Source organism: Homo sapiens, chromosome 1 (assembly GCF_000001405.40).
Source record: "Homo sapiens chromosome 1, GRCh38.p14 Primary Assembly".
In the NCBI taxonomy this organism is placed as follows: Eukaryota; Metazoa; Chordata; class Mammalia; order Primates; family Hominidae; genus Homo; species Homo sapiens.
Genome location: NC_000001.11, coordinates 204,541,716 through 204,569,077, shown reverse-complemented (window position 1 = coordinate 204,569,077; position 27,362 = coordinate 204,541,716). Strand labels below are relative to the sequence as shown.

The window sequence follows — 27,362 nt, the reverse complement described above, 5'->3', positions numbered from 1 at the left end:
GAGAGAATAAAAGCAGCTTGATTTTGCAAACTGTCAGTATTATGAACCAAGGCAAAGACCTCTAGGGAGCAGGGACTCACGCGACTTCTTTTCCTCATTCCTACACAGCAGAGGGAATGACAGGACCAAGCTCAAGAACAATTGCCCAGGGGTCTGAGCTGTTAGCACTACAGGCATTGATTAGTGTCTACGGTTTTCATGTTCCCGGCTCTGCCTTCAAGGAATCACAGCCCCAGAATTCCTGAATCTCAGATCCAGAAGGGACCGGAGATGGCACAGGAATCCCTGCTTTAGCTCCTGTGACAGCTCCTGGCCTGTGCGGAGCCCGGTGCCCCAGGGAATGCTTACTACTCCTCTGCCCAGCCTGCTCACTGTTTGCCAGCATAGACTGGTGGTAAATTCCATCTTGTGTGAGCTGAAACCTGTCTCCCTTTCATCAACCAGCAGAGTGGGCATGTACCACAGCACCTTAGATGAGAATGGCCCCTCAGAGATCCCATGAGTCGGACTACCCAAATTCACCTGCAAGCATTTTTCTCTGGGTCTACCTAGTGTTTCAAAACTTTTCTTTTGATCCAATATTGACAACAGAGAGATTTCCTAGAAAAATCTAGCCTTGTGGATTTTCTTGGTATATTGGAAAGGCTGGCAACCACGACCCACACTACCATCTGAAAAGACCTGGCCGGAGTTGGGTGTTGGTTATCCCATTGTTATGGGCATGGATCTCCAGTTTACTCTCACCTCCTGCACTCCCTACTGTCCCCATTCCAGCAGCTCTCCTCTGAGATCGCACTGGTCTCTGTAGCTTATGAGTTTGTGAGACCAGACCTTGTTCATCCTCCAAGTTTTACCAGTTGCCATGTGCCAGGATCCTCCTTGGCCTATGGTTCATTCCCTTCCTTTATAATTTAACCTCTTCCCTTCCAGAGCCACACTCACCCCAAGGGATTTCCTTCCTCTTGTCCTGCTCCTATTTCCATCTTGTGGCCTTTATTGATATAAAAATAACCAAACTAACAAAGCAACTTTGTTAACTACTCCTTTCCTTGTGCCCATGCATTTAAATCAGTAGTGTTCAGCCGGGCATGGTGGCTCACACCTGTAATCCCAGCACTCTGGGAGGCTGAGGTAGGTGGATGGCTTGAGCCCAGGAGTTCGAGACCAACCTGGGCAACATAGGGACATGGTGGCGCATAGCTATAGTCCCAGCTAACCGGGAGGCTGAGGTGGGAGGATTGCTTGAACCTGGGAGGTCGAGGCTGCAGTGAGCCTAGATTGTGCCACTGCACTCCAGCCTGGTGACAGAGTGAGACCCTGTGTAAAAAAAAAAAAAAAAAAAAAAATCAGTAGTGCTCCACCAGCAACAGGACCATCTATAGTCTACGTTTAAGGACTTTTGGAAATTTTTTGTATTATAATGACTGGGGCAATTAGTGCTTGGGGTCCAAAAATGCTAAATATCATGCTATGCTAGGAGTAGTCCCATTAAAAAACAAACCAAAACCTTATTCCATTCAAAATGCCGCTAACCCTCATGGGAAAATATTGATTTAAACAGAATGCTAGCTAATTTTGTCCTACATCATTTTTCTCTATGCCTGTGTAAAATGAGAATAATGTATTTCATTCTTATACCAATTCATTTCTTTCACAGAGTTGTTGTGAGGATTGTGTGAGATTTAAAGAACAGATACTTGACACATACTAAGCAAACAACAAATGCTAGCAACGATGGCTGATTCAGAAATGGAATGGTGAGACAGGAACTGGTGTGCCTGCCCACAGACCTGAATTCTAGTTCGAGCTGGAAGAGCTAGTCTGCCATTCACAAACCACATGACCCTGGTCATGTTTCTCCCCTCTGAACAATGAAAGGTTGTACTAGATTTCCGGAGTCCTGGTCATCCCGAATATTCCATGGTTCTGTGTTCCTAATAAGACAAACAGCATACCCTTTTTTTTTGAGACACGGTCTCACTCTGTCACCCAGGCTGGAGTTCAGTGCTGTGATCTTGGCTCACTGCAACCTCTGTCTCCTGGTTTCAAGCGACTCTCCTGCCTCAGCCTCTCGAGTAGCTGGGACTATAGGCACACACCACCACACTTGGCTAGTTTTTTGTATTTTTAGTACAAATCCATGTTGGCCGGTCTGATCTCAGACTCCTGACCTCAGGTGATCCGCCTGCCTCAGCCTCCCAAAGTGCTGGAATTACAGGCGTGAGCCACTGTGCCTGGCCAATACCCTTTTTCTAGTCAATATTCTTGTTGGCTTTTCTTGTCTCGGCCAGCACTCCCAGGTGCAATGGTGAAAGCTAGCCCGAGGCTGTATTTCCTTCCCCAGCAAATTAAAGAACAAAGACAAAGAACAAACCCTATGTGTATACAGGACACAGATACACATTGGTTATCATTGAGTCCCTGAAGTCTGTAATGTTTTCAGGGAGGTGGTGGTGGGTAGCCTCAACTTCTAGTCGTTTCCCTTCCTTAGATGGGGAAAGAGTTTTCTCCTGGAATACAGCCTTTTGTGATAGGTACCTGTTGACCACTAGGCTCTCATCACAGAGGGATTCAGGGAAACAGCTTCTGAGGCTCTACCGAGGCTCAGAAATAGATCCCTCCCCCTACTGCCTGCTGGAAGGAAGGCTGGCCCGATAGGCTAGGAGGCGGGAGGTTGTACATCAAAGGGAAAAAAAACAGCAGTTCAGTTCATTTGAATAAACCAGGAAGAAGGGAACTGCAATAGGTTATTACTGAGAGAATAATTTGTAAAACTAGGTTACAGATAGTCTCGAGGAGATGGAGACTGAATGGTAAAAATGGACAAAATACAAAATGGAAATAGAGCTCTCTTGGTGGCTGGTGGGGAGTTGGAGCACCATTTACCCTACACTTCTACTCCATATTTTCCTTCTGGGTGTGAGAGGTATTTTTCAAATGATTTCTTAAAACACCAGGGGTAAGAATATTTCAATAGACTTAAGGGAGTTATACTCAAGCAGATTCAACGATGTTAAGGGCAAGAGGGACCGCCCGCCCCCTTAGATTTTTATAGGTTACTGGTGCCCTCTGGTGGGAGATAAAGGTTACGTCTGTGGGGTATAGGCCCGAGATTTGATTGGTCATTCGTGTTCAGATGCTGCAATCCTCCAGCTTGATGTGCCAGCAAGAAGAGGCAGTATCAGGTGATAAGCACCTCACAGGCGTTATCTCACTGGTCCATCAGCCTGTTTCACAGATTAGGAAGCTGAGGCTTAGAGACACGAGGTGAACTACCTAAGGTCACCCAGCAGGCAGCTAACTGGCAATCCTAATTCATTGCCAAGAATTCCAGGAATGCTGATGGTCAGGTTTTCAAACATAGACAAACTGTCATGCACACTCACACTCACACAAAAAGAAAAGACAAAGAAGAAAGTAGATGCAATTTTCTCCAAAATGTATCCCCTACGAAGGTAGCAGCTTTACCCAGTTTTGAGCATTGTACTTTGCTGGAGTTTAAGATTTCCCAGTTTAGGGCACTGGAAAGTTCGAGTCTCTTTACCTTGAATCAAAAGCATAGCTTATTTCCCACTAGTGATTCTCTTAGAGGTTAATGATGAAGGGGAACAAGCCCTAGACTGAGAGGGGGCAAGAGCTGGTTACCAGACCAAAGGTGTGAATTGGCCATGTGATACTTGATATCACATCTGTTGTTGTAAAGTAAGGGTGTTCAAGAAAGTGATCCTTAAGGCTATAAAAGATATTTTTTTGCACCCCTTGCCCTAAACTTAAAATAAGTGCTCACTCACCTCTCCCTTCTTTTCTCCACTCTTGCAAGGTTTTCCGTGTATGTATGTGTCAGAAATATTGGAGTATCTGCCTAAGCCTAGTAAAACAAAACAAAAATCCATTCTCATCCCCATGATGCTTTCATAATCTTGTCCTTAACCATTTCCCACTGTTCCTCTTCCTCTCCCCAAACCTTTCCCCCTTAGCCTTAGACTTCAGCAGTGGTTCTCAGAATGTGGTTTCTAGGCCGGAAACATCAGCATCACCTGGGAACTTGATAGAAATGCAAATGCTTGGACCGCATGCAGACCTACGTTACTGAAACCTCTGGGTGAGGCCCAACAACCTGTCAAACACCGTCAGACCTGTCAAACTGTTTGCTCAAGTTTGAGAGCCACTGTTCCAGATCAGGGTTCTTAATCTAGGGTCCACAGATGGTTCTAGGAAGTCTAAATGTTTTTTGAATTTGCATATAACATTTTGCACAAGTACATGCCCTTTTTCTGGAGACAAGTTCTCAAAGCAGTCAACTCTTGACTCCAACTACACTATCATTCTGTTTCTTTCTTTCTTTTTTTTTTTCTTTTTGAGACAGTTTTGCTCTTGTCGCCCAGGCTGGAGTGCAATGTCTTGATTTCCACTCACTGCAACCTCCGCCTCCTGGGTTCAAGCGATTCTCCAGTCTCAGCCTCCTGAGTAGCTGGGATTACAGGTGCCCACCACCACGCCCAGCTAATTTTTGTATTCTTAGTAGAGATGGGTTTCACCATGTTGGCCAGGCTGGTCTCAAACTCCTGACCTCAGGTGATCCGCCCACCTCCGGCCTCCCAAAGTGCTGGGATTACAGGTGTGAGCCACCGCACCCGGCCTATCACTCTGTTTCATAAACAACTTCCTGCCTACATCTGCAAACTCTTCTTTCCTCCTCTTCTTTGCCTTAAAAGATACCTGGCTTTCCCTCCAAAGGATCTTGGTGGTCACTTTCCCATACCTCATGTGCTTTCAGGATAGGGTATGGGGCCTCCCCAGTACTGCACTCAGACCCCTATTCTTCCACACTTCCAAATCTCTGCATATATATATATACACATATATATATATACACACACACACACATATATATACACACACATATATATATACACATATATATACCAAATCTCTGCATATATATACACACACATACACACACACACACACACACATATACATATATATATTTAGATCTATACTCCCCTTTACTCCTCCTTTACTGCTGTCATCTGCTGACTTTGCTCACACTTTCCCTTGTTCATTACAGACTTTGGGTTCCTACCTCCTACCAGCTTCCTGGATGATAACAACATCACATGAATGACCCATCTAACACCACGGCCTCGTGGGACCTTAACCACTTCATGTCAAAGAATTTCACCTTCACATACTCCAGCCACTCACTCTGTTAGGCCCTGGGAGCTTGCCCTCATCTGGGATGCTCCACCGTATGCCAGTCAGCTTATGCCAAATTACACTGTGGTAACAAACCCCCAAATCTCAATCGCTTGAATTAACAAAAGCTTGTTCCTTTGTCCCTCGCAGGATAGGTACAGCTATGGTCCCTGTTCTCTTCAGTCTTGGAGACAGGTCAAAGGGAGCAGCCCCCATTTTGGGACACACTAGCCTCACGTGGAGGAAAAAGAGCACTGACTTACCCACACAATGGTCCCTAAGCCTCTGCTCAGAATAGCACAGTTCATTTCCACTTGCATCCCATTGGCCAGCCCGCTGCCAGTGGTGCAGGAAGTGCAATCTTTTCCAAGGCCTGGTAGAGAAAAGCTGCGCAGGTTTTGACAGTAATACATCTACCACAGCCTTTGAAGTCCTATTAGATCTTTCTTCCTCTCTCTCTCTCTCAACATAGCGACCTGTCTTTTCAGCTCCTGGTCCTCTCCTCCTACTGTACTATTCTTCAGTTTCAATCAGCCCCCTCCTGGAAATGACAATAGATAACATTTACTGAACACTTAGTAGGTTCTATCTTGACATCTATTATCTCGTGAGTCATTGAGAGCTTAGAGAAGTTAGCCTGTCTTCACCTCATTCTGTCTTCTAGGTTAGAACCATTACTTCGCCTATGAGGAAAACAGAAGAACCAGATAGAACTGAGAGGCCAGGTCAGGGCCATAAATGTGTGACACCAATCTGCAGGTTGTGTGATGTTTCTCCTGTAGTACGCATTGGCTGGCCTCAGTGGTCCTCAACCAGAGGCCATTCTCCCACTTAAGTAATATTTACCAATGTCTGCGGACATTTTTTATTGTCATAATTAGGGGAGTGCTACTGGCATCTAGGGAGCAGAGGCCAAGAATGCTGCTAAACATCTTAGAACACACAGGACAGCCCCCATCACAGAATTCTTCAATCCAAAATGTCAACAGTCCTGAGGCTGAAAAGCCCTGGTCTGCAAATTGGACAGTCTCAGGCAATTGCCTTGTGGAAATTTTCCTACTCTGTTCTCTCCCCTATTCTCCAGAATACCTGTTCCAGACCTGCTCCACTCTCTTCAAACTCTTATCCCAACCACCATCTCTGCTGTATGGCTGGAGGCTCTGGGAGGCCGGTGGAAGGCGCAGCAGGGCAGACCGGCGGTGCTTGGGCGTAGAAGGGGAGAGCAGTCCGACCGCAGGCGAGCAGCTCAGGGGTCCCCAGTCCGAGCCCCACGACCCTGGGGTGGCAGTGACGCCTGGAGTCGGGCGGGCGTGGCTGGGCCGGGCTCTTGAAGAGGCAGCCAGGCACCACCATTAGTGTCTACGGCCATACCACCCTGAACACGCCAGATCTCGGAAACTAAGCAGGGTCGGGCCTGGTTAGTACTTGGATGGGAGACCGCCTGGGAATACCTGGTGCTGTAGGCTTTTTGGCTCCCTCCCTCCTTTTGTCTCCGAGCTTCCCAACTGCCCCCTGACTCTGCTCCCCCTTTTCCGCCCGCCTGTGTACCCCGCGGTAGCCCAGGACCTCCTCGTGGAGGTCTGCCGCCGCAGCACCGCCAGGCAGCAGCATCCCACCTCTTCCGCCTCACTGCAGCCCCACCAGGAGCTGGCTTCAGCCCTGGCGGGGCAGACCTGGACCTGACCCCGAAAGCGCAGGCGCGGGTTCCCTGCCATCAGGGTGTCTTCCCGTTCCCAGGATGCCCAGGCAATTCAATTCACTCATCTCTCTCTGTCCATGCTTTCAGCGACACTAAACTTTCTAGTTCTTCCCAGATGCCACTGTTTTCTCACCTCAAGACCTTGGCATGTTTCCTCCTAACTACGGCACTTTTCCCTTCCTCTCCTAACTCCTAACCTTCCTTTAATCTCAGCTCATCTCTTCCCGGAGGTTGTTCAGAAGCTCTTGGCTACATTACGTCCCCCTTCTGTATTTCTCATAGCAGCATGTAGTCTCACAACAAAACATTCACTATGCTAATATTTACATGCTTAACCAGTTTCCCTAGACAGGAGAACAGGAACCATGTTCATCTTCATCACGGTATCCCCCAGTGCCTAGACAATACGAAATACATGATACGTACTTAATATTTACAGCTCAGGTGTCTCCTAAGCTCCACTTCCATTTGGATGTTCTCATATGCACAAACTCAACACAACCAAAACTAAACTCATCATTTTTTCCTATCTCACCACCATCATCAAAAACCTACTCTTCTATTGTCTTTTTTTTTTTTTTTCCCTTGGTCTGTCACCCAGGCTGGAGTGCAGTGGTATGATCTCGGCTCACTGCAACCTCCGCCTCCCTGAGTTCAAGCGAGTCTCCTGCCTCAGTCTCCCGAGTAGCTGGAACTACAGGCTCGCACCACCACACCCGGCTAATTTTTGTATTTTTAGTAGAGACAGGGTTTCACCATGTTGGCCAGACTGGTCTCGAACTCCTGACCTCAGGTGATCTGCTCACCTCAGCCTCCCAAAGTGCTGGGATTACAGGTGTGAGCCACCACACCCGGTCCTATATTCTTTATCTCAACGAATGGCACCACCATCTACCAGTTACCCAGTCATCCTTGACTCCCTGCTTCCCTCAAACCACATTTATTCATCTTTTTTTTTCTAAAAACGATGGTCACTTTAAACATACATTGTTTAAAGTGCACGCATTGTCATGAAGTCTGTCTCTTCTACCTTGATTTCTCTCAAATCCTTGCACTTCTTTTGGGCTTTTGTCTCAAACATACTGGGTTTAACCACTGACTATCTGCAATTCTGAATTGCCTTTGACAGGCTATTTAACATCTCTGAGCCTTAAATGCCTCATGGAATAACAGATGTCAAGTCAGCACCTACTAAGTGTTCTATTACAATAATGCATCTATTACTATTCTTGCCCAGCCCACTGCCATGACTTTAGGAGTATCAATGCAGCCCAGATTACTGCCATGGCCTCACTGTTATCCCTGCTCTAAACAGCACTCCAGTCTACTCTCACCAATGCAGCCAGAAGGATCTTTCAAAAATGCCAATGAGATGATGTCACTCTCCTGCTTAAGACCTTTGTAGCTCTCCACTACCTTCAGGATAACATTCAAACCTACTAGGTTAGCATATCACACTTTCAACACCCAGGCCCCTTCCCACTCCAGCACCATCTCTCATCACTTTTCCAAGCACATCATTTGCTCCAGGCACAACAAACACTTAAGAGTTCCCCCCAAAAGCCATTCTCTCTCCTTTAGTTCTTTCAGCTACTGTTTCCTTGGCTCATGTGGAAACCGTCTTAAGTATCTAACTCCATTGTCTGGCCATAGGCAACTTGAGAGCAGCTTCCTTACTGTTGTATTCTCAGTATCAACCAGTCTCTGGCTCATATTAACATTTAATAAGTATTTATTTGTTAAAGCAAACCAAATATGGCCTGAGAAGGACTCCATACTTACATATTTGAGTCCCTGTGGATGAACTGTAACCTAGCTTAATAGGCAGACAAGATTGAAAACCTAATTTACGAGTATGTGCCTGTAACAATAGCTGAGTCTTGGCCAATCCCAGCAGCCATACTTCAACCACTCATACACTGCTGAGTGTTCAAACTGTGTTCAAATAAGGCAAACGCCCACCTGTAACCAATCCAGCCAGCTGTTTCTGTACTTCACTGCCTATTTATTTACGTCACTTCCCTCTTTTTGTCTATAAATTTGTTCTGACCATGAGGCATCCCTGGAGTCTCTCTGAATCTGCTGTGATTCTGGAGACTGCCCAATTCGTGAATCGTTCATTGCTCTATTAAACTCCTCTAAATTTAATTCGGCTGAAGTTTTTAACAAATTGATTGAATGTAATCCTTTATTTTAAAGAGGATTAATCAAATAAATTCAGGGCTGGGGATGTACATCACAAGGTTAACCCTGTATGCCCAAACCTATAATGACTTGAATTTTTCCTAATAGCAATAACTCTTTTCATACCTTTATATGATGGACTTGTGTAACTCCACCAAAAACAAACAAAAAACCCCCAAACCCTCAAAACAAACAGTGATGTGAAATTTACCTACTAACAATTGTGCCAGGCAAAAGCAACATTTTGGGAGGCTGAGCTAGGAGGATCGCTTGAGCCCAGGAGTTCTAGACAAACATGAGCAACACAGTAAGACCACACCTCCTCACAAAAAAAATATTTTAAATTAGCCAGGTGTAGTGGCATGAGCTTGTGGTCCCAACTACTCAGGAGGCTGAGGAGGACGATCACTTGAGCCTTAAAGGCTGAGGCTGTGGTGAGTTGTGATTGCATCACTGCACTCCAGCCTGGGGGGACAAAGCGAGACCCTATTTCCAAAAAAAACTGCAATACTCTGTAAGCTTAGTTACCAGTTTCAGCTTGCCTTCTTCTTCTAGTATCAAGAATACATTCAACAAAAATGATACATCTACAGCACCAGGAACTCAAGGTGAGCAGGATGGAAAACCCCAGGAAACACGTTATGCCATTGAAATTGCATTAGAGTACCTTATACAGGTCACATACAAAATGTGAAAGGCTTAAGTAGACAAAGAAGCTGGCCCCATTTTTGTTTCTAATGCTCCTTGTTTTGTTTTCATTTAAAAAGTGTTACCCTGGGTGCCCAGTATGGTGGCTCCTGCCTGTAAACCCAGCACTTTGGGAGGCTGAGGTGGGTGATTACTTGGGCCCAGGAGTTCAAGACCAGCCTGGGCAACATGGCAAAACGCCATCTCTTCAAAAACACAAAAAATTCAGCCAGACGTGGTGTACATGCCTGTGGTCTCAGCTACTCGGGGGGCTGAGATGGCTGGATCGCTTCAGCCAGGAGGTCAAGGCTGCCGTGAACCTCTCGCCACTGCACTTCAGCCTGGGTGACAGAACAAGACCCTGTATCAAAAAAAAAAGTTACGATGGTATGTCCATTATCACCCCACCCCACCCCCAAGGCCTCCTCAGATATATATTACACATCTCTAAAGGATCATTTATATGGCAGCCTATGAACAGTGCCCCAAGAGTTATACAGTTCACAGCAATCTGCACCAACTATATGGTAATCCTGCCCCTACCCAAGCTCAGGACAACTAGCCAGATGTTTCACTCACCTTAATGGCTTTAGCTGTAAGTGCATGACCTTTTGAAAAGCGTATGTGCTACCAGGCTCTTTGTGGGCCATTCACTCTTCTTTGGCATCCTGCCAAAGAACAGAACCTGAGGGTCATGGATCAGTGGTTTCAATGAAGCCCTGAAATTGATGTTTAATATTGTGCTACTTATAAGAAGAGGTTTCATGAGGTTCATTAGCTTTTCAAGGAGGACTATAATCCCCAAAGTTTAAGAACCGCCATTAGAGACCCTAGCAGATGCTAGGCATACCAACTGATTAATGCATATGGTGTGACAAACCCTCAGTACCTCTCGTACTAGCCCCAATTCAAAACCACAACGAGCTCAATGTTAGAAAATACTCTGTAAAATTTGATGGATTTCTTCAGGATTGGGACCCTGAAAATAAAATATAGCAATTGCTCTAAAAGGTAACTGGGGGAAAATATCCAATGCTGCTGATTTTAAGTCCATTAATTTCCCCAAAGAAGTAACAGAAGTAATTTTCTGTTGTATCTTTGGTCTATCAGACCAAAAGATCCAATAGCAATGAGATTTAACTGTATACACACAAAATTACCTATTTCAAAAATAATGACAACACACAATGGCAAAAGGAAAAACATTTAATACATAAAAAAGCACAATTAAAAAGTATTAAAAGCATTACATAGTGCAAACACCAAAAAGACAGAGCTATTAACTTAGTGGTGCTTATAAGGAAAACTAGGCAAGAATGCAGAAAATGCCTTCCTCTTTCCTCATCTAGTGAGCTGGCCACATTCAATAAGTTGTTGTTATTATTATTATTATTATTATTATTAGCGAAAGACTGAAGTTTTATTATTACTCAATTCAGTCTCCCAAAAAGTTATTTTAAATTGCTGCTTTCTTCCCACTTGATGAAACCACATTTGCTGCTCTTGTGATTCTCTGATCGGAAATATTTGGAAAATTTCATGTTTTCTATATATTGACAGTGCATTTTATGCCACCTACTCAAGTGTATGTAGAAAGAGATGTTTTGGGCCAGGAGCAGTTGCTCACGCCTGTAATCCCAGTACTTTGGGAGGCCAAGGCGGGCAGATCGCCTGAGGTCAGGAGTTCAAGACCAGCCTGGCCAACATGGTGAAACCCTGTCTCTACTAAAAATACAAAATTAGCCAGGTGTGGTGGTGCACGCCTGTAGTCCCAGCTACTTGAGAGGTTGAGGCAGGAGGATCGCTTGAACCCAGGAGGCGGGGGTTGCAGTGAACCAAGATTGCGCCACTGCATTCCAGCCTGGGTGACAGAGTAAGACTCTGTCTCAAAAAAAAAATTTTTTTTTGTACATCAAGACCACAGCAAGGTGGTTTTATCAGGATAGAATGTACTATCCAAATTTACAAACTTCTCTCAGAACACCTAGAGAAAGAACTCTTTTCTGGTCAAGAGCCTCATATCAAAGAAAGAATACCTAAACTAGAAGCATGGGTAAAAGGGCCTGCAGTAATCAAACAGGCTCTGCCAGGCAGGCAATAAAGGGGAGCTAGTGCTCAGCTTCCAGAACATGAGGTATTCTGAATATATACCCCAGAGCTTGGTACACCAAGAGCATAATAGGTTCTTAGATCTCTTCAAGGAAATTTATAGGCTTCAGAATTGCTCTCCCGGATTTAATCCCTACAACAAATGATGAGGTAGAAAAGGGTAGGTATGTATACTGCTTTTTATATATGAGAAAAACTGAGGCATACGGACGTCAAGACTGGCACTCAATACTTAACTCTACCTCTACCCAAGAGGCACTTAATAGTGCATAGCTAGAGACTAAAGAAAGTCATATTCAAGGTTGCTATGAGGTCTACCTTGCCAAGTGCTGAGGAAGCCAAGAAGCATTTCATCCCTCCTTTGAAACATTTCCTGTTGATTTTAAAAGGGGGAAAAAAAAACCCAAAAGAAACACTTCGATTCTCATTGAAAAGAAAGTGAAAAAATGAGGCAAACTACAGAGAAAAAAATAATTCTGTAAGAAGGAAGCCTGACCTCAATTTCTTTGAGACAGCGTCTCTGTCACCCACCTTGGATTGCAGTGGTGCCATCTCAGCTCACTGCAACCTCCACCTCCCAGGCTCAAGCGATCCTCCCACCTCAGCCTCCTCAGTAGCTGGGACAAGCATGCACCCACCATGCCCAGCTTTTTTTTTGTATTTTTGGTAGAGACAGGGTTTCACCATGTTGCCCAGGCTGGTCTCGAGCTCCAGAGCGCAAGCAATCTGCCCACTTTGGCCACCCCAGTGCTGGAATAACAGGAGTGAACCACCGCGCCTGGCCTGACCTCAATTTCTTAGTGCTGAGACAACAGGGGAGCTAACTCCCTATCCCCCATCACACACAGAAAGGAAGCCTCAACTACGAGTTGTTACTTTATTAGATAGTAGCTCTGCCATCACAGCTTCCCATCTACCGCCTAACTCTGCAACAGAAACATTTCCCAGGACTGACTGGAAAGAGGAATCTTATCTAAAGATACTGTAGTTACAAGGGCTGATAAGGGTCTTTGGTATAAAAGCAATATCCAGAAATAAGATAATTAACTTTGGAACTAAGGGGATATAAATGACACAGTAAAGGTGGAAGGGTTTTTTTTTCTTAAGGGAGACCAGAGTTTTATTATTACTCAAATCAGTCTCCCAAAAAGTTACTTTAAAATGCTGTTTTCTTCCCACTTTATGAAACCACATTTGCTACTGTTGACAGGGGACTATCTGATCAGAAATATTTGTCTGTTGACATCAGTACTTAACTGTTTAAAAAAAAAAACAGTGCCTTCAGATAAGAAATTAGGGGCTCTAATAAGATGTTATAATGATAAATGTCCTTTTTTTTGAGACAGAGTCTCTGTCACCCAGGTGGGAGCGCAGTGGTGCAGTCTCGGCTCACTGCAACCTCCACCTCCCAGGTTCAAGCGATTCTCCTGTCTCAACCTGCCAAGTAGCTGGGACTACAGGTGCACGCCACCACGACCGGCTAATTTTTGTATTTTTAGTAGAGACAGGGTTTCACCATACTGGTCAGACTGGTCTCGAACTCCTGAGCTCAGGCAATCCACCCACCTCGGCCTCCCAAAGTGCTGGGATTACAGGCGTAAGCCACCGCCCCTAGCCTAATATCAATCTTCGATAAAGCATTTGCCAAATTACAGCAACTGCTCTGAAAGAGGAATTGCTCTTCTAGCATTATTTGACCCTTTTTAGGTATCCTTGACCCTCTTTACCTTAAGAAATGGAGAGTTCCGGCCGGGCGCGGTGGCTCACGCCTGTAATCCCAGTACTTTGGGAGGCTGAGGTGGGCAGATCACGAGGTCAGGAGATCAAGACCATCCTGGCTAAGACGGTGAAACCCCGTCTCCAATAAAAATACAAAAATTAGCCAGGCGTGGTGGCGGGCGCCTATAGTCCCAGCTACTAGGGAGGCTGAGGCAGGAGAATGGGGTGAACCCGGGAGGCGGAGGTTGCAGTGAGCCGAGATCGCGCCACTGCACTCCAGCCGGGGCGACAGAGAGAGACTCCGTCTAAAAAAAAAAAAAAAGAAATGGAGAGTTCTACTAACTGTCCTGTGCTCCCAGAGGGGATTCAATGAGGATCGTAAGAAGGAAAACAACCTGCAGGGGAAGCAGCATCTTGGATTTCAGATAAAGTACCAAAAAATATTAGCTATCTCTTTCTGCAGACATGCCTCTTTCTCTGTTAACACTTTCAGTCATTCAAAAGGCTATTGGTAGAGGTGCAGCAAATCCAAGTGTAGATTTACTGTAACAGTTTATTTAACTATGCTGTATTCACCAATAACGGCATTACCAATAATGGCATTAGTGCACATCAAAAGATCTGAAAATGCTAATGGGACATTTCCCACAAAAGGAAAGAAATCCAATGGCTCCTATAAAGGGAGAATATAGCAATGGCAAGCAGAATGAAAATTTCTGTCAAAAGAAAGTACTTCTCAAAGCAATCAGGAAAAACTGTTCCCAAATTAGGCCTGGGGAGCCACATTAGCCACTATCTCAGATACTGATTATTTTGTTTAGCCTTAGGGGCCTCAATATTCCCCCTCATCTGCTAAACTTCAACTTGTTTACTCACAAGTCTGATAAATTCCAGCCAAGTAACCTTAACATTCCCTATGGCAGTGCAAAATTCCAGACATTTGTAAACACTGTAAATTTCACGTTTGGTACATGAGACAGCTTACCGGTTCATCTTTGATTCTAAAAACATAGCTAGTTCCTAATCTATGGCCATTTTTAGCAAAGGTAGCATCAGGATCAAAACATGCTTGCACACATGCACACTCATGACTGGGAGAACCATCAGAACTAATTGCTCGTTAGGATATAGTTCTGAACAATTTAAGCAGATAACTGACTAAATGGAAAACAGATTCACAGTATCTAAAGCCATATATCAGAAATTCACATAATTCTGAGGGGAAAAAACTCAAATATCTAGTTAACAATTGTCTTCCTTTCAAAAGCGAGTCAAGAGGTAACATTACATAGCTTTGTATTATAGATCAGAAGAATATTCACCAATATATCAAAGACTTCAAAAGGCAGCCAACATTGCATTGAATTGACACACACAAAATGTTACAAATGACCTTGACCCTTAAAAATAAATTCTTACAAACCAAATAATACCACACAATGCACTACATACATCTAACTATACATAAATTATAATTAAAACACAACTGCATATTTCAAATGCTTGGCAGTGACTCAATCTTACATTACAGAAGTTAGTGGCAGTGTGGAGGCTGGCATGGCTCAACTCCAATCCATTGTACAAGCCTAGGATTAGAAACCCATACTATTCCATTGGTAGACTGGGGAAATGGCATACCATATTAAAGATCTGGTCTAAGATTTTTATAAAGTTTGATTTAAGCATTAAATAAAAAAGCATACCAATTACTGTGAAGTACACTGGAAGGAGAGTGAGTTAATATTCAGACAGAAGAACTTTTTAGCCGTAATACTGAAATTCATCGTTGTTCTAATGATTTGTCATCTCTGCTCTGAACTTTTCGCCCAAGATAACAATCATAAATATTAATTTGACAACTAAAACAAGAAATCTGATGGTAATGTGGTGTGATTTCATTATTCATAGTCTACAGCACGTTGCAGCAGAAACAAGCTCCAATGACACAGATCCTTCCTCACAATCAAGATATCAACTCGAACAAGGCTTACCTATAACTAGGTGACCATATAATTTAACATCCAAATGAAGAGGTTTGAAAGTGAAAGGGGACATGCAGAAAGAAACCAGGTGGGATGCAGAAAAATGGGAGCAATTTGGCAGTCTCCAGAAAACCAGAGCACATGGTCCCAATAACTACAGCTAAAAGGTAAATGTCAGTATTTGGAAGTTTCCTTATAGCAGTAAACTCTGAACACTTCACATATAAACTATGCCTTGCTTTAGTTTAGTGGCAGTGAGTAAAAAAAATCTGTACCGCAGTGGCAAGGAAAAAAGAAAATCAAAAACAGACCAAGAAAATAGTTTAAGCTGGGCGCTGTGGCTCATGCCTGTAATCTCAGCACTTTGCGAGGCTGAGGTGGGTGGATGACCTGAGGTCAGGAGTTCGAGACCAGCCTGACCAACATGGTGAAACCATCTCTACTAAAAATACAAAATTAGCCAGACATGGTGGTGCACACCTGTAATCCCAGCTACTTGGGAGGCTGAGGCAGGAGAATCATTTGAACCCGGGAGGCAGAGGTTGCAGTGAGCCGAGATCACTCCACTGCACTCCAGCCTGGGCGACAAGAGCAAAACTCCATCTCAAGTAAAAAAAAAAAAAAAAGAAAAGAAAAGAAATAGTTTAAAGTTTCCTACAAGTAAAGATGAAATTCGGCTCAAGCACATATCTTAGGATCGTCTAAGTACTTAGTGCTAACAGAAGCAGTGAAAAACCCCGGTGGGCAAGCAGGAAGAGTGAAGCTGAGCAGCCTAAGAGGATTCTTTCATGGGCAATGATGTGTCAAATTTAGGATCAAATACCTATAAACATAAGTAAAATGTTTACTTCTTAAGTTTTATTAAAAATTACAACTTGGCTGGGTGCGGTAGCTCACGCCTGTAATCGCAGGACTTTGGGAGGCCGAGGTGTGTGGATCATGAGGTCAGGAGTTCGAGACCAGCCTGGCCAACACAGTGAAACCCCCATCTCTACTAAAAATACAAAAATTAGCCAGGCATGGTGGTATGTGCCTGTAGTCCCAGCTATCTGGGAGGCTGAGGCAGGAGAATCACCTGAACCCGGGAGGCAGAGGTTGCGGTGAGCAGAGATCATGCCATTGCACTCCAGCCTGGGCAACAGAGTGAGACTGTCTCAAAAAAAAAAAAAAAAACCAACAACGACATTATGAGATTTTTCTTTTTGCGATTTTTTTTTTCTTTTTTCTGAGACAGTTTCGCTATTGTTGCCCAGGCTGGGGTGCAATGGCGCAATCTCAGCTCACCGCAATCTCCCCCTCTCAGGTTCAAGCGATTCTCCTGCCTCAGCCTCCTGAGTAGCTGGGACTACAGGCATGCACCACCATGCCCAGCTAATTTTTTGTATTTTTAGTAAAAATGGGGTTTCTCCATGTCGGTCAGGCTGGTCTCAAACTCCCGACCTAGGTGATCTCCCAAAGTGTTGGGATTACAGGCGTGAGCCACTACGCCCGGTCCACGATTTTTTTTTTTTTTTTTTTTAGCTCATCAGCTATTGTTAGTGTTAGTGTATTTTATGTGTGGTCCAAGACAATTCTTCTTCCATTGTGGACCAGGGAAGCCAAAAGATTGGACACCCCTGTCTAGGGCAAGGATTCCAAAAGTATGTTCTGTATAAAACTTGCATAGAGATTCCAGGAACACTTGTTCAAATGCAAATTCCTGGTCCAGATCTCAAAGATCAGTCTCTGCACGTTTGGACATTTTTAACAAGCAACCCTCATGATTTTTATGATCCTTAAGTTTGACAATTCTAGGGCCTTGGTCTTCAAAATGACACATGCATACCCTTGAGAACACACCAACATTTTCCCATGGGGGTAAGGATACATGCATAGCTCTATGGAAACCAACTTAAAGATGTCCAATTTCCATATGTGTTGTCCTAAAATATGTGCTCTGATGAGGCCTCTTCAGATCTACCATTTCTCTTTACCTCCCTTTTCACAACAGCCATACTCCCTATCCTCCAAAAAAAAAAAAAAAAAAAAAAAAAAAAAGAGGCTGCCTCTCAACCATCCAGTATATCAAGGCGTATTGCCTTGGTGTAAGCAGCTCCAGAGGCACTAAACAAAAGGATCAAAAAAAATCTAAATGACTCCTAAGACGCAAAGAGGGTAGGGGGCAGTAGCTCAGGACTGCAATCCTAGCACTTTGAGAGGCTGAGGCAGGAGGGTTGCTTGAGGCTAGAAGTTTGGGACCAGCCTGGGCAACATGGCAAAATGCTGTCTGTACAAAAAATACAAAATTCAGCTGGGCATGGTGGTGGCACGCGCCTATAGACCCAGCTACTTGGGAGGCTTAGGTGGGAGGATTGCTTGGATCTGGGAGGTCGAGGCTGCAGTGAACTGTGATTGTGCCAGTGCACTCCAGCCTGGGCGACAGAGCAAGACCCTGTCTCAAAAAACAAAACAAAACAAAACAAAAACTGATGCTTCTGAAGGCTGTGCCAGAGAAGTATGTTTGTGTGTTTATCTGAATTAAAACCAAGACATGTTCTGACGGAAGTTAAGTCTGATTTGGCTAATTAAATTAAGAACAGACTTTGCCAGTTTATATGACAGGACTTTTTCTATAAATTTAATCAGCTAAATCTATAGTCCCAGGGCTTTCATAAAAATATCTTTGAGCCAAGCATAGTGGCTCAAGGCTGTAAGCCCAACACTTTGGGAGGCTGAGGCGGGGGAATCACTTAAACCCAGGAGTTCGAGACCAGCCTGGGCAACATAACGAGACACCGTCTACAAATTATTTTAATTAGCTGGGAGTGATAGTGAATGCCTGTGAGGGAAGCTGAGGCTGGAGGATCACTTGAGCCCAGGAGGTGGGCCGTGTTTGCACCACTGCACTCCAGCTTGGATGACAAAGTGAGACCGTCTCTCAAAAAAAAAAAAAAACTTTAAAGCACATATATAATATGCAATATGTTGGATAGTATATCCTTTGTAAGTACTTAAATTTTAAAAATTTAGATTTCAGATTAAAGTCTTGCAAAAGGGCCAGACTAGGTGCCTCATGACTATAATCCCAGCAATTTGGAAGGCTGAGGCGGGAGGATTGTTTGAGCCCAGGAGTTCGAGACCAGCCTGGGCAACATAGTGAGACTTCATCTCCACAAAAAATTAGCCAGTGTGGTTATGCTAGTCTATAGTCTCAGCTACTCAGGAGGCTGAAGTGGGAAGACCACTTATGCCCAGGAAACCAAGGCTGCAGTGAGCCATGATCATACCACTGCACTGCACTTCAGCCTGGGAGACAGAACAAGACAGACCCTGTCGCCCCACACCTCCCCTATACCCCCGGAAAAAAAAAAGTGCAAAAAAAAAAAAAACTAGGGTGAGAGCCATGAAATAGCTGAAGGACTGTCTGAAGAGGGGCAGAAGGGAGTGTTTTGGGGTGACAGAAACATTCTATTGCTTTTTTGGGTGGTTACTCAGATTTCTACAACTCGTTAGAAGGAAACACTTTATCATGTTAATTATACCTCAATATTGTAAATGTGCATGGAAGAAATCTCTTGTTTTCAAGAGTTTTTCTTTTGGGTTCACCTAACTATGTACCTGACTGCTGCATAAAGTAATCCATGGCACTTAATAATTTGACTAATCAGATTACTTCTGTTCTTCATTGTTAGCTCCAGTATTTTTCTTACAGCTACCTTGGATTTTGATGCCTAAGAACATTCTCTGACAGGTTGGAAATAAAATTAAATAAAGGATTGATTTTCAAATAATGTGGTAAGTGAACGGAATAAATGCATTTTTATGTTCGTACTACCATTATGCTATAAAAACCTTAATAACCAGCTGAATCTCTTTCTTGCAAATAGGGCATGAAGCCCCAGCCTTCTTTAGTCTTCTGGCACAGTGAAAACAAGTGACAAGATGGCCCGTCCTTCCATGAATAATGTTCCCGTCTCGTGGTCTTTTCTCACATAAGCTACATGGCTTCAAGAGATTCTGGCAATCCTCCATGTTTTCTGTATCTGTTCTCTGTTCAGAAAGGTTATCTAACTGTTCTCCCATGCTTGAGATGGTCTCTTGGCTTTCAGAACTGTGAGCCAAATCCAAGAATTCCACTGAGTTGCAGGGATCAAAAAGTTTGGAGTTTTCTTTCTTTATATACGCATCTTTAGGTCTAACGACAGGAGCCGAAATGGTTCTTCGACAATCAGGGACATCATTTCCTTCATTTTCCTTTTCAGGTATGGCAGTGATATCAGACGTGGAGAGAGAATGGGTTAACTTTGAACAATCTGAATACCAATCCTTCCTCAAGGCCCAACAACGAAAACAGTACCTCTTGCTTGGAGAGTTAAATTTCTTGCATTCAGTACACTGCCACTCATCCTACAAAGACAAGTGAAGCCAATTAATACTCAGGGGGTTAATATGATGCTGAGAAAAAGGAAAGGAGGTCAAATTCATTCACATCCTCTCACTAAGCTATTCCACACCAGTGATCTAGCCTAGGATTTGAGCAAATTCTACAGCCACATGAAGGAAAGTCTTTGGAAGGTTTACACTGATAGTGCCACAACTGCTATTTTCAAGCCAAAATCTGATATAGTTATCTTTAAGAAAGTGGCTTTAAGAAAGGTGGCTTTCTACCTCATCTCGGTGAAATTTACATTGTTTGCTGTACCTTATGGGCTTCTTTGGAGTTATTTTTCTTTGCACAACTTACTCCTTTATCGGGCAAGAGGCTGAAGAATGAAGAGAATACTCTGTCATTCTTTTCTACACTAATAGCAAATGTTATAAAGTTTGGCAAAAAAGAAAGCTAAAACAAATGAGATTTGAAAACGACTAAATTTACTCATGCACTCTCATTGCACCCAGAATTATAGGTGTAACTGTATGCCTAAATCATGCCCTCTGAAAAATAAATGTTATTGTCCTTGAATGCCAAGTAATTTTTCCCTACTTCTCCATATTCAAATTAGGAGACACTAGATCTCAATGAATTTTAAATGCTTTGCTTAATTCAAAAATAGCTACAGGGAACAAGAAAGAATATTTAATGCGGTTAACTGGCTTTGACAGGATTTGATTTGACATAAGCTGAACTTGATTACTTTTAGGTCAAAGGCCAAGCACTTCAAGTCTAGAAGTCATAACTCAATTGTCCAGACTGAGGCAAGGGCACAACCATGTGTTAAACTGGGATTCCAGATGGCCTCAAAACACTCTTGCCAGTCTAAGATCTTCCAATCTCATTTAAAATGCTATACAAATAATCAAAGGAACTTCATAAAGATTTGGAATTCATGAGTGATGGTGTGCCACAGTTTAATTGGCATCACTTTTTCTTAGTAGGACATAAAATAATAGGGCTTATTAAATTCAATGGCATCTTTGATATGATGAAATACAGTCCATTTGCTTAATAGGTTTTCTGCACCCAAGTAGCCACAGAAGTCTGATTAAGATGGAAACATGGCCGGGAGTGGTGGCTCACGCCTGTAATCCCAGCACTGTGGGAGGCTGAGGCGGGCGGATCACCTGAGATCAGAAGTTCAAGACCAGCCTGACCAACATGGAGATCCTCGTCTCTACTAAAAATACAAAATTAGCTGGGCATGGTGGCACATGTCTGTAATCTCAGCTACTTGGGAGACTGAGGCAGGAGAATCGCTCGAAGCCGGGAGGCGGAAGTTGCAGTGAGCCGAGATTATGCCATTGCATTCCAACCTTGGCAACAAGAGTGAAACTCCATCTCAAAAAAACAGATGGAAACATTTATCTCTGTTATTTGTATTACAGTCAAGAACACTTACTGGACCAATATATTTTACTTTATTACTAAGCTACACACAGATCATTGGCAATGAACTACCATAATGCTCAACAGTGGTGTGGTGGGAATGGGGGAAGGATCAACACCAGAAACAACCTAAAAATGTTTCTCTTTCCAAGCAGCAAAATGTAAAATCCCCTTCTTATCCTTCCTCCACCAACCTTTTTCCCATAGTGTGTTACCTGTGGCAAGACTAAAAGAAACATGGGGAAATAGCAACAAAAAAGCAAGGTATACATTTGGGTCTAGACTTGAGTTGTCAACTAGTGACAAATCCATCCCTATTAACCTAAGAGTGGAATATCAAGTCTTCTTTAATAGTCCTCCATTAATACTAATCTGTGTGGAAATTAAGCTGTTTTCCATTTGCTTCTTTTTAAGAAAACAATGACAATATTATTTTTATATTCAACAAATAATTTTAGATAGCCTATGGGTCTGTCTTTGGGATTGCAGAGAGGTGTTGAGTCAGGGAAAGCAGTGCAAGACTATTTTGAATAACTTTGTGTCTCCAGAGAGATTTGATGGCAGGGAGAAAGGCACACAGAGGCATTTATCTCATCCTTTTCAAGGTAGGGAGAGGATAAGATCAAATTATCCCCTTCCCTTCTTAAGTTCCAATAAAAATCTCTTAAAAAAATGTAAAGAAACCAACATCACTTAGCAACTAGGCAAGGGAGACAGAAATGAGGGGTAAACAGCACTCTTCAACACAAGTGAACTGCTGGGATTACATCATCTGAAGATGGGGCTGGTGCAAAATAGTTCTTGCTAAAGATTCATACCTCAGAGGTAACCTCTACATCGGTATCATCACTTAAGGACTTAGAGTCCTCCAGGTCATCATTTTTTCCCACTTCAATCACCTGTGAAGGCAAAAACATCTCATTAGTAATGTTTACTTGTTTTAGATGAGGCTAATTAACTGAAAGCAAAAAAGACAACTGCTTCAATTTAAAACTCACATTCTTCTCCCATCTCTAGCACTTAAGGAGACAGCTTAAATGCAAGACCAAACACATGATTCTGTACTTCTAGTTGGCATTTCAGTAGTAGCACAAACGACAGAAAAGCACCCAGAAGAGTTACCAAATAAATTTTGCATTCAGAAGAGAGAAGATGCCCATATTTATGACTTTAAAGAAAATAGCTGGGCATGGTGGCTATTTTACAGCCAGGTGCCTATAATTTCAGCACTTTGGGAGGCCAAGGCAGGAGGATACCTTGAGCCCAGGAGTTTGAAACTGGCCTAGGCAACAGAGCAAGACCCTGTCTCTGCAAAAAATAAAAAAAATTAGCCAGGTGTGGTGGTGCACGCCTGTAGTCCCAGTTACTTGGGGGCTGAGACAAGAGAATCGCTTGAGCCCAAGAGTTCCGGCTTGCAGTAAGCTATGATCTCACCACTGCACTCCAGCCTGGGTGACAGAATAAGAGCTTGTCTCTAAAACAATTTAAAAATAAATAAATAAATAATTTCAGAGTAGAAAAGCTCCAAATTGTTAAACGTGCAATTTTTTATCTAAGCAGACAGGAAGAATGAAACAAAGTATCTTAAAAATTTACTTTTCACTTTCAAAAGTGAAACTAGTTATGTGATACTCTGGCTGTCCTATAAAAACATGCCCACAGAAACAGAAACAAACAAAAAAAGTCCGTTTCAAAAGTAAGGAGTGTTCTAAATTTTAAAATTTAGAATTTAAAAATTTAAAGCCCTAGTTTTGTGGTCCAATAAAAAGAATAAAACCAATTATGAAACAATTATGAACCTCTGTACAGCAACCTTCTCACAAATGGCCAAGTATTTTAAGTCCCATCTCTCTCTATAGACGTTTCCTAGGCCAGGTATGGCTGCACATGCCTGTGACCCCAGCTACTTGGGAGGCTGAAGTGGAAGGACCACTTGAGCTAAGAAGTTTAAGACCAGGTTGGGCAAAACAGTGAGATCCCATCTCAAAAATAAATAAATAAAAGTTTCCAAATGTCACTTTTGTCTTAATTCAAGCCACCTGCATTCCTTCTAATGCTACCCATATAACTAGTCTAAGAGAACCCAGGTACCATTTGACTACAACGAATATACTAGGGTATCCTTCAGGAACTCAAAATTCTTATGAAAATCCCTTAAATAACTAAAAAGGATGACCCAATTTTTTCTTTGCTGTATTTATCCGATGGATGTTTACCAACACTCTTCTACATGCTGGCCACTGGATCTCCTCCCCAATTTCTTCTGAGTCTTGAGCAAGTTGCCTGTATGACTCTTCATCTGTACATGAGTACATACCATACACATGAGTACTTCATGAGTACATACCATATGTATGTACTCAGAGTTCAATCTCCCCTCTTTTCTACTATTTTAACACTAAAATAGCTACAAAGAAATAATCTTATCTTTCCATTTAGGTACAACATGGTTATGGAAGCTATCAAGATTTCCAAGAAATAAGTTTTCTCCTACAGACTGCTGTTCATTTACAACAGGGGTGTCCAACCTTTTGGCTTCCCTGGGTCACACTGGAAGAATTGTCTTGGGCCACACATAAAATACACTAACACTAATGATAACTGATGAGCTAAAAGGAGAAAAAAAATCGCAAGAAAACTCATAATGTTTTTTAAAAGTTTATGAATTTGTGTTGATTCAAAGTTGTTCTGGGCCGCATGTGGTCCACAGGCTGTGGGTTGGACAAGCTTGATTAGCACCTTACCTTGTTAGCAAAGGGAGAGAAAAGGTAGCTTGTTGCTATAATCAGGGGAAAAAAGAGTAGCTTACTGCTTTTGACTAAGTAGGGGCTTTTAAGGCAGCCCTGGTTAACATTACTTAATGTGAATCTTAAAATTGGATTGAAAAATTAATTAAAGTTAAAAAGGGGATTATGTGAGCAATCTGTTGTAAAAACAGATACAAAGAAATCTCAACAGATGATACTATGAGCACACAAACAGAATCAACATGGAATTTTTCCACAACATACCTTTTTGTCACTTACTTTCCCTACTTCTTCACTTGTTTGTTCAGTATCAGCAGCTTCAACTTTTATTCCAACACCTAACTGCTCTGATACTGACTCATTCAAAAACCACAAGTCATCTGTAGTATCTGAAACAATGGCAGTACCCACATCCTAACAGAAAAAAAACAAACATGAGTTTCTGTATTCAGAGGTTTATCAGAGATGTTGAAACAACACAAATGAACCCAAAACTCAATGTCGTCACACTACATCGCCAAAGAACATCTTGCCTTTATTCAGTGGACATGTATTCATTCAACATATATCTACTTGACACCTACTGTGGATAAACTAATGGATGGATATAATGGTGTCAGGCATGGACTTTTCTCTTTTAACACTAAATCAGGTATAACACCTAAGAAACAGTACTGAAGAGTTTAAAAGGTAAGGACTTGTAGTTGCTCAAGTAAATAGAATCTATTCCCTAAATTCCCTTCTACAGGTGACACTCTAAGAAGCTACAAAACATTCCATTAGTTCTGACATATTCTTTCCCTTAAAATGGTCAAGGATGTTTATTAAAGAAATATGAGAAATACTGATGGTCACCCAAACCTTTTGTCCTGACACTTTCTGAACTCCATATAGAACTAACCTTCTGCATTCATCTATGAATATTTCATGACATGCTTTTCTACAACATTCATGAGAGACAATTTATTATTTTGCACACTATTAAATACTCATCCATTTATTAAACAAATACTCACTGAATACCTATTATGTGCCACATACTGTTCTAGGTACCAGGTAATGGAAAAAGTAGTGAATAATACAAAAGCCCTGGCCTTACATTTCAGTGGTAAACAGACAACACATACATAAAATATAGCAATATTTTTACAAAGTGAGAAGTACTATGGAGAATAAAATAGGATAAAAGAGAAGAGTGGCTAGAGAGGAGGCTATTTTAACTAGGGATGGGTTTGGCAGGGCCACCACCTATAGCTACACAGCTCCAAAACAAAAAGCGAATGGATCCTACTGGAACTGTGTAACATAATAGCCTTTGTGGCCAGGGATGACCTCTTTGAAGAAATTACATTTGAGGTGAGTCCTAAATCATGAGAAGGCAAAGAAAGAATGTGGGGGAACAGTGTTCCAGAAAGAGTAAAGAACAAACTTAAGGTGCCTGAGGAAGGCAGCAATTTTGGGCTACAGTGTCAGAAAGGAGCCTAGTATATCCAAAACGCATGTAGTGAACAAAGAAGAATGACAGGAAGTGAGGAAGGAGGGGGCTGAATCAGTTATTACTATAGTAAAACAGGCGCACGCCACCACGCCTGGCTAATTTTTAATTTTTTGTAAAAATGGTGTCTATGTTGCCTAGGCTGGTCTCAAACTCCTGGGCTCAAGCAATCCTCCTGTCTCGGCCTCCCAGTGTTATAGGCTGGGACTCCCAGAGATTACAGGCATGAGCCACTACGCACAGCCAAAGGCTCCATTTTGAAATTGTTCAATGTCAAATCCTCTAAGTAGAGTTGTTAGTTAAATAGGCATCTGGAAACTGAAGTTGGGCATTTAGGGAAGAGGTAAGGACTAGAGATACAGATTTGGGTATCACATGCATACAGATGGTATTTAACGCCATAGGAGTAAATAAGAATTCTTAGAGAATATAATGTGTGGTCAAGAGTAACCAAGAATGTTACCCTTTCAAAAGAAAAAAAACCACTTCCCTTCAAATGTGAAATTTACCTGATTTGTCTGTAAATCAGTTGAGCCATTACTTCTAGGTGTATAGTTGCTTCTCAAGTTTCCTAAAAACCACCAAGGCAGGCCAGCTACATCCCACTCCTCAAATCCAAGGTCCAGCCTAGATGTTTCATCTTGGGCTAAATTTTCAATTAAGTCTTCATCTATAGAAGTCAAATGAAAAGAATGATAACTATGCACAATACGTAATAACTAAGACTATCTTTAGAATACTTAAAACTTCTTTATAAAATAGGTAAAAAGAAATTCCTGTTCTAAGAAAGAAAGAACCAGAAATCAAGTATCTGTCTTAGTGGCAGAGCTCAAATCTCCTCCCTTGTTTAGACTTCATTAGCAAGTAATGACACTACAAACAGATCATCGTTTATCAAGTTTAAACTCTAAAAGCATTGTCTTCTATGAGAAGACAGGAAAAAAAAAAGACTCTAAAAGCATCTGAACAATGACCTTGTGCTAAAAGAATTTCTAAATGGGCATTTACTGGTATTTTAAACACTCCTACCATGTATAAACTATAGAATTACTTGCTCTAGTACATAGTGCCTGATAATAGTTTGATTAACAGCATTGCAAATGATGGTAACATAGTGGTCTAACCCTTAAGATCAAAGCAAGGCAATACAAACCATAATAGGTGATCACAAGGTTGTCCAGGCAATCTCACTGGTACCACATATTCTGGGTCAATTCTCAATAATTCGTATGTTTTAGTAGGTAACAACCACTATAAAACACTAAACTCTAGGTTGTCCAAATACATACATATGCCCTCGCTGGATCAATGGGCTCTTAGAGTTAAGTATCTAGACATACCACAAATACTAAGACCCCACGTTATTTCAAGTAAAAGATCTCACATTGTACATTTGAATGACACTGAGGGCAGCTAATTAACATAAGTCTGTTGTTATCACATGATACTCTTTTCTTTCCCATACTCCAGTCTTTTGTTGGGCTCTACTGCTCCTTTCTTACTTTCTCATTCTCTTCTACCTCCTCCCAATACATTAGGCCTGCCCATAGCAACCATGGGGTTAACGTGTGCTGAAGTACATATGGTGAAAGAATTTCTGCAATACATGGGTCCTTGCCAGAACATAAGGTTACCCTATTTACTTATAAATTATGTCAATATTGCTGACTAAAAGGCTTATCTGTGGCCAGGGAAACTTCAATTATGTTTCCACTTATTCATTATTGAAACTATCAGA

The 27,362-nt window shown here is 42.4% G+C and overlaps 1 protein-coding gene, 1 long non-coding RNA gene and 1 pseudogene across 18 annotated transcripts in view, besides 1 other annotated feature; 1 reads left to right on the top strand and 2 right to left on the bottom strand.

The window, feature by feature from the left end:
• Positions 1-4,907, bottom strand: part of LRRN2-AS1 (LRRN2 antisense RNA 1) — a 65,547-nt gene extending 60,640 nt beyond the window's left edge. Inside the window, exon 1 of one of the 2 annotated variants that reach the window (XR_007066814.1) lies at positions 3,792-4,907. This is a non-coding gene — a long non-coding RNA (LRRN2 antisense RNA 1). Of the gene's footprint in view, positions 1-1,169; positions 1,213-3,791 lie in introns of those variants that run through there. The other variant, XR_007066815.1, reaches the window with a different exon arrangement.
• Positions 3,162-3,251: a silencer, noted in NCBI's record as "silent region_1729". NCBI's record gives its function as "represses an Ori minimal core promoter by ATAC-STARR-seq in GM12878 lymphoblastoid cells {active_cell/tissue: GM12878}" and the evidence as "EXISTENCE:reporter gene assay evidence [ECO:0000049][PMID:35858748]".
• Positions 6,557-6,665, top strand: RNA5SP74 (RNA, 5S ribosomal pseudogene 74; annotated as a pseudogene).
• Positions 10,958-27,362, bottom strand: part of MDM4 (MDM4 regulator of p53) — a 41,715-nt gene continuing 25,310 nt past the window's right edge. For 7 of the 16 annotated variants that reach the window (XM_024447114.2, NM_002393.5, NM_001278516.2 and 4 more), the window contains 4 exons: positions 26,134-26,294; positions 24,394-24,543; positions 22,201-22,281; positions 10,958-19,965 (listed from right to left, as the gene is read on the bottom strand). In XM_024447114.2, the coding sequence (XP_024302882.1) occupies positions 19,396-19,965; positions 22,201-22,281; positions 24,394-24,543; positions 26,134-26,294 (962 nt within the window). In that variant the 3' untranslated portion in view covers positions 10,958-19,395. Of the gene's footprint in view, positions 19,966-22,200; positions 22,282-24,393; positions 24,544-26,133; positions 26,295-27,362 lie in introns of those variants that run through there. The other 9 variants (XM_047420951.1, NM_001204171.2, XM_017001313.2 and 6 more) reach the window with 5 other exon arrangements.